This window comes from Homo sapiens, chromosome 2, assembly GCF_000001405.40.
Source record: "Homo sapiens chromosome 2, GRCh38.p14 Primary Assembly".
In the NCBI taxonomy this organism is placed as follows: domain Eukaryota; kingdom Metazoa; phylum Chordata; class Mammalia; order Primates; family Hominidae; genus Homo; species Homo sapiens.
In genome coordinates this window covers 76,644,541-76,655,717 of record NC_000002.12, presented here as the reverse complement: position 1 = coordinate 76,655,717, position 11,177 = coordinate 76,644,541, and the positions used below count along the sequence as shown (strand labels likewise).

General features: G+C 38.5%; 1 annotated feature.

Annotated features, from left to right (window-relative positions):
• Positions 1,513 to 2,061: an enhancer, noted in NCBI's record as "H3K27ac-H3K4me1 hESC enhancer chr2:76880783-76881331 (GRCh37/hg19 assembly coordinates)". NCBI's record gives its function as "activates a minimal SCP1, AML or CMV promoter by ChIP-STARR-seq in primed H9 embryonic stem cells {active_cell/tissue: H9 hESC(primed)}" and the evidence as "EXISTENCE:reporter gene assay evidence [ECO:0000049][PMID:30033119]".

Sequence of the window (11,177 nt, the reverse complement as noted above, 5' to 3'; positions counted from 1 at the left end):
CTGATTTAAAAAATCAAAGATTAAATAAATAAATTGATTCTATATTCATGGATTAAAAGAGTCAATGTTATTAAGATGTCAGTTCTTCCCATCTTGATTTATATATTTAATTTAATCCCAATCAAAGTTTCAACAAGTTATCTGTGGTTAGCAACATACTTATCTAATGTTTATCTAGAAAGGCAAAATACCGAGAATAACTAACACAATATTATATGAGAAGAACAAAGTTGGAGGACTGACAGTATTCAACTTCAAGATTTATGATAACACTACAGTAAACAAGGAAGTATGACACTGGTTAAGTAATGGAGAGACAGATAAATGAAACAGAACAGAAAGTCTAGAAATAAACCACCACCTATTTAGTTAACTGATCTTTGGGAAAGGAAACAAACTTGACATCCTTCACAAAAATTTACTCAAAATGGACTGTAAACCTAAATGTAAAAAACAAAACTTTAAAACTCCTAAAAGTTAACATAGGAGAAAATAAAAATGATCTTGGGTTTGGTAACAACTTTTTACACCAGAAACGCAATCCATGAAAAAAAAAAAAGATGGATGAACTGGCCTTCATTAAAATAAAAAACTGCTCTGCAAAAGACACTGTCAAGAGAATAAAAAGAAGACAAAGACTTGGAGAAAATATTTGCAAGACATATGGGATAAATTCAAAATATACAAAGAATTCTTAAAACTCAACAAGAAAACCAACAATCTGATTTTAAAATTGGCCAAAGATCTTAACACACACTAAATCAAAGAAGATATACAGATGGCCAATAAATATACATAAAGATGTTCCACATTCTTTGACATCAAAGAGACAGTCATTAAAACAGCAGTGAGATACCACTATAAATCTATTAGAATGGCCAAAACCTAGAACTCTGACACGATCAAGTAGTGATGAGAATGTGGAGAAACAGTAATTCTCACTCACTGCAGGTAGTAATGCAAAATAGTACAGCAACTCTAGAAGACAGTTTGGTAGTTTCTTACAAAATTATACATACTCTTACCATAAGACCTAAGAAGTGTATTCTTTGGTATTTATGCAAAGCAGTTGGAAACTTATACCCACACGAAAACTTGCACAAAGATGTATATGGCAGCTTTATTTATAACTGCCAAACCTTGGAAGCAACCAAGATGTCCTTCAGTAGTTGAATGGATAAATAAACTGATATATCCATACAATTGAATATTATTCGGTGCTAAAAACAAATATGCTATAAAGTCATGAAAAGACATGGAAAAAACTTGGATACACATTAGTAAGTGAAAAAAACCAATCCGAAAAGGCTAAGTACTGTATGATTCCAACTATGTTACATTCTGGAAAAGACATAAAAGACCGTAAAATGATCACTGGTTGCTAGGGGCTGAAGAAGAGGCAGGGATAAGTAGATTGAGCAAAGTATATTCTACAAGTGTAGAGCAGTGAAACTATACTGTATGACACCATAATGGTGGATACATGTCATCATACATTTTTTCAAACTCATAGAATGTAGAACAGACACCCTCATGTAAACTATAAAGTTTGAGTGATACTGATATGTCAATTTAGGTTAATAATTGAAGCATGAGGACATTTCAAGCAATATTCTAACAAAATCATTTTCAACGGCTTTCCCTAGAATTAAGTGGCTGGCGTGCATTGTGCTCTGAGAAAATGGTGACCTGGGATAGGAGGAGCAAAGATGGTCGAATAGGAACAGCTCTGGTCTACAGCTCCCAGCGTGAGTGACGCAGAAGATGGGTGATTTCTGCATTTCCATCTGAGGTACCGGGTTCATCTCACTAGGGAGTGCCAGACCATGGGCGCAGGTCAGTGGGTGTGCACACCGTGCGCGAGCCGAAGCAGGGCGAGGCATTGCCTCACTCGGGAAGTGCAAGGGGTCAGGGAGTTCCCTTTCCTAGTCAAAGAAAGGGGTGACAGACGGCACCTGGAAAATCGGGTCACTCCCACCCGAATACTGCGCTTTTCCGAAGGGGTTAAAAAACAGCGCACCAGGAGATTATATCCCGCACATGGCTCGGAGGGTCCTATGCCCACGGAGTCTCCCTGATTGCTAGCACAGCAGTCTGAGATCAAACTGCAAGGCAGCAGCAAGGCTGGGGGAGGGGCGCCCGCCATTGCCCAGGCTTGCTTAGGTAAACAAAGCAGCTGGGAAGCTCCAACTGGGTGGAGCCCACCACAGCTCAAGGAGGCCTGCTTGCATCTGTAGGCTCCACCTCTGGGGGCAGGGCACAGACAAACAAAAAGACAGCAGTAACCTCTGCAGTCTTAAATGTCCCTGTCTGACAGCTTTGAAGAAAGCAGTGGTTCTTCCAGCACGCAGCTGGAGATCTGAGAATGGGCAGACTGCCTCCTCAAGTGGGTCCCTGACCCCTGACCCCTGAGCAGCCTAACTGGGAGGCACCCCCAAGCAGGGGCAGACTGACACCTCACAGGGCCGGGTACTCCAACAGACCTGCAGCTGAGGATCCTGTCTGTTAGAAGGAAAACTAACAAACAGAAAGGACATCCACACCAAAAACCCATCTGTACATCACCATCATCAAAGACCAAAAGTAGATAAAACCACAAAGATGGGGAAAAAACAGAGCAGAAAAACTGCAAACTCTAAAAAGCAGAGTGCCACTTCTCCTCCAAAGGAACGCAGTTCCTCACCAGCAACGGAACAAAGCTGGACAGAGAATGACTTTGAGGAGCTGAGAGAAGAAGGCTTCAGATGATCAAATTACTCTGAGCTACGGGAGGACATTCAAACCAAAGGCAAAGAAGTTGAAAACTTTGAAAAAAATTTAGAAGAATGTATAATTAGAATAACCAATACAGAGAAGTGCCTAAAGGAGCTGAAGGACCTGAAAACCAAGGCTGGAGAACTACGTGAAGAATGCAGAAGCCTCAGGAGCCGATGCGATCAACTGGAAGAAAGGGTATCAGCAATGGAAGATGAAATGAATGAAATGAAGCAAGAAGGGAAGTTTAGAGAAAAAAGAATAAAAAGAAACAAGCAAAGCCTCCAAGAAATATGGGACTATGTGAAAAGACCGAATCTATGTCTGACTGGTGTACCTGAAAGTGACAGGGAGAATGGAACCAAGTTGGAAAACACTCTGCAGGATATCATCCAGGAGAACTTCCCCAATCTAGCAAGGGAGGCCAACATTCAGATTCAGGAAATACAGAGAATGCCACAGAGATACTCCTCGAGAAGAGCAACTCCAAGACACATAATTGTCAGATTCACCAAAGTTGAAATGAAGGAAAAAATGTTAAGGGCAGCCAGAGAGAAAGGTCGGGTTACCCACAAAGGGAAGCCCATCAGACTAACAGCAGATCTCTCGGCAGAAACTCTACAAGCCAAAAGAGACTGGGGGCCAATATTCAACATTCTTGAAGAAAAGAATTTTCAACCCAGAATTTCATATCCAGCCAAACTAAGCTTCATAAGTGAAGGAGAAATAAAATACTTTACAGACAAGCAAATGCTCAGAGATTTTGTCACCACCAGGCCTGCCCTAAAAGAGCTCCTGAAGGAAGCACTAAAGATGGAAAGGAACAACTGGTACCAGCCGCTGCAAAATCATGCCAAAATGTAAACATCGTCGAGACTAGGAAGAAACTGCATCAACTAACGAGCAAAATAACCAGCTAACATCATAATGACAGGATCAAATTCACACATAACAATTTAACTTTAAATGTAAATGGACTAAATGCTCCAATTAAAAGACACAGACTGGCAAATTGGATAAAGAGTCAAGACCCATCAGTGTGCTGTATTCAGGAAACCCATCTCACGTGCAGAGACACACATAGGCTCAAAATAAAAGGATGGAGGAAGATCTACCAAACAAATGGAAAACAAATAAAGGCAGGGGTTGCAATCCTAGCCTCTGATAAAACAGACTTTAAACCAACAAAGATCAAAAGACACAAAGAAGGCCATTACATAATGGTAAAGGGATCAATTCAACAAGAAGAGCTAACTATCCTAAATATATATGTACCCAATACAGGAGCACCCAGATTCATAAAGCAAGTCCTGAGTGACCTACAAAGAGGCTTAGACTCCCACACATTAATAATGGTAGACTTTAACACCCCACTGTCAACATTAGACAGATCAATGAGACAGAAAGTTAACAAGGATACCCAGGAATTGAACTCAGCTCTGCACCAAGCAGAATAGACATCTACAGAACTCTCCACCCCAAATCAACAGAATATACATTTTTTTCAGCACCACACCACACCTATTCCAACATTGACCACATACTTGGAAGTAAAGCTCTCCTCAGCAAATGTAAAAGAACAGAAATTATAACAAACTATCTCTCAGACCACAGTGCAATCAAACTAGAACTCAGGATTAAGAAACTCACTCAAAACTGCTCAACTACATGGAAACTGAACAACCTGCTCCTGAATGACTACTGGGTACATAACGAAATGAAGGCACAAATAAAGATGTTCTTTGAAACCAATGAAAACAAAGACACAACATACCAGAATCTCTGGGACACATTCAAAGCAGTGTGTAGAGGGAAATTTATAGCACTAAATGCCCACAAGAGAAAGCAGGAAAGATCCAAAATTGACACCCTAACATCACAATTAAAAGAACTAGAAAAGCAAGAGCAAACACATTCAAAAGCAAGCAGAAAGCAAGAAATAACTAAAATCAGAGCAGAACTGAAGGAAATAGAGACACAAAAAACCCTTCAAAAAATTAATGAATCCAGGAGCTGGTTTTTTGAAAGGATCAACAAAATTGATAGACCGCTAGCAAGACCAATAAAGAAAAAAAGAGAGAAGAATCAAATAGACACAATAAAAAATGATAAAGGGGATATCACCACTGATCCCACAGAAATACAAACTACCATCAGAGAACACTACAAACACCTCTACGCAAATAAACTAGAAAATCTAGAAGAAATGGATAAATTCCTCGACACATACACTCTCCCAAGACTAAACCAGGAAGAAGTTGGATCTCTGAATAGACCAATAACAGGAGCTGAAATTGTGGCAATAATCAATAGCTTGCCAACCAAAAAAAGTCCAGGACCAGATGGATTCACAGCCGAATTCTACCAGAGGTACAAGGAGGAACTGGTACCATTCCTTCTGAAACTATTCCAATCAATAGAAAAAGAGGGAATCCTCCGTAACTCATTTTATGAGGCCAGCATCATTCTGATACCAAAGCCGAGCAGAGACACAACCAAAAAAGAGGATTTTAGACCAATATCCTTGATGAACATTGATGCAAAAATCCTCAATAAAATACTGGCAAACCGAATCCAGCAGCACATCAAAAAGCTTATCCACCATGATCAAGTGGGCTTCATCCCTGGGATGCAACCCTGGTTCAATATATGCAAATCAATAAATGTAATCCAGCATATAAACAGAACCAAAGACAAAAACCACATGATTATCTCAATAGATGCAGAAAAGGCCTTTGACAAAATTCAACAACCCTTCATGATAAAAACTCTCAATAAATTAGGTATTGATGGGAAGTATCTCAAAATAATAAGAGCTATCTATGACAAACCCACAGCCAATATCATAGTGAATGGGCAAAAACTGGAAGCATTCCCTTTGAAAACTGGCACAAGACAGGGATGCCCTCTCTCACCACTCCCATTCAACATAGTCTTGGAAGTTCTGGCCAGGGCAATCAGGCAGGAGAAGGAAATAAAGGGTATTCAATTAGGAAAAGAGGAAGTCAAAGTGTCCCTGTTTGCAGACAACGTGACTGTATATCTAGAAAACCCCATTGTCTCAGCCCAAAATCTCCTTAAGCTGATAAGCAACTTCAGCAAAGTTTCAGGATACAAAATCAATGTGCAAAAATCACAAGCATTCTTATACACCAACAACAGACAAACAGAGAGCCAAATCATGAGTGAACTCCCATTCACAATTGCTTCAAAGAGAATAAAATACCTGGGAATCCAACTTGCAAGGGATGTGAAGGACCTCTTCAAGGAGAACTACAAACCACTGCTCAAGGAAATAAAAGAGGATACAAACAAATGGAAGAACATTCCATGCTCATGGGTAGGAAGAATCAATATCGTGAAAATGGCCATACTGCCCAAGGTAATTTGTAGATTCAATGCCATCCCCATCAAACTACCAATGACTTTCTTCACAGAATTGGAAAAAAACTACTTTAAAGTTCATATGGAACCAAAAAAGAGCCCGCATCGCCAAGTCAATCCTAAGCCAAAAGAACAAAGCTGGGGGCATCACACTCCCTGACTTCACACTATACTACAAGGCTACAGTAACCAAAACAGCATGCTACTGGTACCAAAACAGAGATATAGATCAATGGAACAGAACAGAGGCCTCAGAAATAATGCCGCATATCTACAACTATCTGATCTTTGACAAATCTGAGGAAAACAAGCAATGGGGAAAGGATTCCCTATTTAATAAATGGTGCTGGGGAAACTGGCTAGCCATATGTAGAAAGCTGAAACTGGATCCCTTCCTTACACCTTATACAAAAATCAATTCAAGATGGATTAAAGACTTAAACATTAGACCTAAAACCATAAAAACCCTAGAAGAAAACCTAGGCATTACCATTCAGGACATAGGCATGGGCAAGGACTTCATGTCTAAAACACCAAAAGCAATGGCAACAAAAGCCAAAATTGACAAATGGGATCTCATTAAACTAAAGAGCTTCTGCACAGCAAAAGAAACTACCATCAGAGTGAACAAGCAACCTACAAAATGGGAGAAAATTTTCGCAACCTACTCATCTGACAAAGGGCTAATATCCAGAATCTACAATGAACTCAAACAAATTTACAAGAAAAAAACAAACAACCCCATCAAAAAGTGGGTGAAGGACATGAACAGACACTTCTCAAAAGAAGACATTTATGCAGCCAAAAAACACATGAGAAAATGCTCACCATCACTGGCCATCAGAGAAATGCAAATCAAAACCACAATGAGATACCATCTCACACCAGTTAGAATGGCAATCATTCAAAAGTCAGGAAACAACAGGTGCTGGAGAGGATGTGGAGAAATAGGAACACTTTTACACTGTTGGTGGGACTGGAAACTAGTTCAACCATTGTGGAAGTCAGTGTGGCGATTCCTCAGGGATCTAGAACTAGAAATACCATTTGACCCAGCCATCCCATTACTGGGTATATACCCAAAGGACTATAAATCATGCTGCTATAAAGACACATGCACATGTATGTTTATTGCGGCATTATTCACAATAGCAAAGACTTGGAACCAACCCAAATGTCCAACAATGATAGACTGGATTAAGAAAATGTGGCACATATACACCATGGAATACTATGCAGCCATAAAAAATGATGAGTTCACGTCCTCTGTAGGGACATGGATGAAATTGGAAATCATCATTCTCAGTAAACTATCGCAAGAACAAAAAACCAAACACTGCATATTCTCACTCATAGGTGGGAATTGAACAATGAGAACACATGGACACAGGAAGGGGAACATCACACTCTGGGGACTGTTGTGGGGTAGGGGGAGGGGGGAGGGATAGCATTGGGAGATATACCTAATTCTAGATGACGAGTTAGTGGGTGCAGCACACCAGCATGGCACATGTATACGTATGTAACTAACCTGCACATTGTGCACATGTACCCTAAAACTTAAAGTAGTATAATAATATTAAAAAAAAAAAAAAAGAAAATGGTGACCTGGAAAATGATACTTTTTTTTTTTAATTGAAACAGGAAGGTGGTCAGTTCTGGGGAACCCAATTTCAAAGTCATCTTTTTCCTTTTTAAACACGCTTGCTGCAGTTAAAATTTCATTACAAAATCATAAATATTTATTTAAAAGAACTAAAAGTTAGAAAAGTATAAATAATCAAATTTAAGAAAGTTAAAATCATCCTTAATCCTCTGAGTGAAAGAAAGACGGCAAGAGGTAATACTTTGGTGTTGGCCCATGGAGTACGTCTGTTAATCCTCCATCTATTCATAGATGTATTCAGTAATTCAAAAAACGTGTTTTGAATGCATAGTAATGCCAGATACAGGTCCTCGGAATACCGTAGTGAACAAAACAGATTAAAACAAAACAAAATTTCTGATCTTATATGGATCTAATTGGGACATCCACACACAAATATACCCACACACATATGTACACAAAACATCTTAATACATATTCTGTTAATAATATGCATGTTCAGCATTTTTCATGTCATAAAATATGTAAAATGTTGCATTTTTAAAAATTTAAAATCATACCTAAGAATCTACTGTTAAATCTAAGGACATGAAGATTTATCTCTATATTTTCTTTTAAGAATTGTAGGCCGGGCGCGGTGGCTCACGCCTGTAATCCCAGCACTTTGGGAGGCCGAGGCGGGCGGATCACGAGGTCAGGAGATCGAGACCATCCCGGCTAAAACGGTGAAACCCCGTCTCTACTAAAAATACAAAAAATTAGCCAGGCGTAGTGGCGGGTGCCTGTAGTCCCAGCTACTTGGGAGGCTGAGGCAGGAGAATGGTGTGAACCCGGGAGGCGGAGCTTGCAGTGAGCCGAGATCCCGCCACTGCACTCCAGTCTGGGCGACAGAGCAAGACTCTGTCTCAAAAAAAAAAAAAAAAAAAGAATTGTATAGATTCAGCTCATACATTTAGGTGTTTCATGTATTTTGAAATATATGGGGTCCATAGATTTGGTAGGGGTCCAACTTTGTTCTTGTTCATCTCAAAAATATTATAATCCCCTTCATATTTGAAGAAGAACATTGCTTCTTTCTATATTTTTGTGGTACTTGTACATAATAACACGTATTATTGCTTCATTTATTTTAATGATCGAAAATATTCTATTGTGTATATGTACCACATTTTATGCATCCATTCAATAGTTGATGAACATTTATTTCCACCTTTTTTGCTACGGTGAGTCATGCTGCTATAAACATTTATTAACAAGTAGTTGAGCACCTGTTTTCAATTCTTTGGGGTATATACCTAGGAATAAAACTTCTGGATTATACAATAATTATGTATTTTGAGTAACTATCAAACTGCTTTTTTAGCAACTGCACCATTTTACATTGCCATTAGCAACGTACAAATGTTCTAATTTATCTATATCCCCACCAACACTTATTTTCCTTTGTGTTGTTTTGTTTGGTTTTGTTTTAGTCATCAAAGTGGGTGTGAAGTGGTAACTCATAGTGTTTTTTTTTTTCTTTCACCTGATGACAAATAATGTTTAGAATATTTTCATGTGGTTAATGGCATTTGTGTATCTTCTTTTTCTGAACTTTTACTTTAGGTTCATGGGTTCACACAAAAGTTAATTATATAGATAAACTCAGTATTAGGCCTAGTACTCAGTAGTTATTTTTCCTGCTCCTCTCCTGCTTCCCACCCTTCACCTTCAAGTAGATATCAGTATCTGTTGTTCCCTTCTTTGTGTTCATGAGTTCTCATCATTTAGTTCGCACTTATAAGTAAGAATATGTGGTATTTAGTTTTCTGTTCATGCATTAGTTTTCTAAGGATAATAGCTTCCAGCTCCATTCATATTCCTGCAAAAAAAAATCATGATCTCATTCTTTTTATGGCTGCATAGTATTCTGTGGTGTATATGTACCATATTTTCTTTATGCAATCTATCATTGAGGGGCATTTAAGTTGATTTCATGTCTTTGCTATTGTGAATAGTGCCTCAGTAAACATTTGTGTGCATATGTCTTCATGGTAGAATGTTTTCTATCCTTCTGGGTATAGACACAGTAATGGAATTGCTGGGAAGAATACATACATGCTGTCAACAAGCAAATGAAAAAAAAAAAACAACATTGTGGAAAGCAGTGTGGTGATTCCTCAAAAAGTCTAGGTCTTCTTTGGAGAAATGTCTATGTCTTTTACACATTTAAAAATTGGATCGCCTGTTTTGTTATTGAATTGTAAGAATTTTGCATATATTCTGGATACTAGACCCTTACCCAATATATCCTTTGCAAATATTTTCTCCCATTCCGTATGTGGTTTTTTTTTTTTCACATTCTTTGTAATGTCCTTTGCTGCAAAAAAAATTTAATTTTGATGAAGTCCAAATCATCTATTTTTTCTTTTGTTGTTTATGCTTCTGGTATCATACCTAAGAACCTATTACCAAATCCAAGAACATGAAGATTTATTCCAATGTTTTCTTTTAAGGATTGTATACTTTTAGCTTATATACTTAGGTATTTCATGTATTTTGAAATATATGGGGTCTGTATATTTGGTGGGGGTCACACTTTGTTCTTGTTCTTCTAAAAAATATTACTATTCCCTTCATATTGAAGGAGAGTATTGTTAGTATAGAAATCTTTCATGGCAGTTTTTTTCTTTTAGCAGCTTAAAAATGTTAACTCACTCTATTCTAGCTTCCACGGTTCATAATAAGAACTCAGCTGTTAATCTTATTAAATGTCCCTTATGCATAATGAGTCACCTCTCTCTTGCTGTTTCCAAGACAATCTCTTTGCCTTTGTCTTTTAAAAGCAAATTGATCATAATGTGTCTCAATGTGGATCTTCTTGAGTTTATCCTTATTTGATTTTATTGTGCTTCTGAGATGTGTGGAGTCATAAATTTTTATCAGATTTCAGGAGCTTTCAGCCATTATTTCGTCAAGTATTCTTTTTTTTTTTTTTTTTTTTTGAGACGGTCTTGCTCTGTCACCCATGCTGGAGTGCAGTGGTGCGATCTTGGCTCACTGCAACCTCCACCTCCCGGGTTCAAGCTATTCTCTGCCTCAGCCTCCCAAGTAGCTGGGATTACAAGCACCCACCGCCAAGCCCGGCTACTTTTTGTATTTTTAGTAGAGACAGGATTTCACAGTGTTCGCCAGGATGGTCTCGATCTCCTGACATCGTGATCCACCCACCTCAGCCTACCAAAGTGCTGGGATTACAGGCATGAGCCACCACGCTCAGCCTTCTTCAAGTACTCTTTCTGCCCCTTTCTCTCTTTCCTCTCATTTGAGATTCCTATTACATATACTTTGTACAATGATGCTGCCCTTCAGGTCTCTTAGGCACTGCTCATTTTCTTTGTTCTTTTTTATTCTGCTCTTCAGACTGAGTAATTTCAAGTAATCTCTCTTCAAG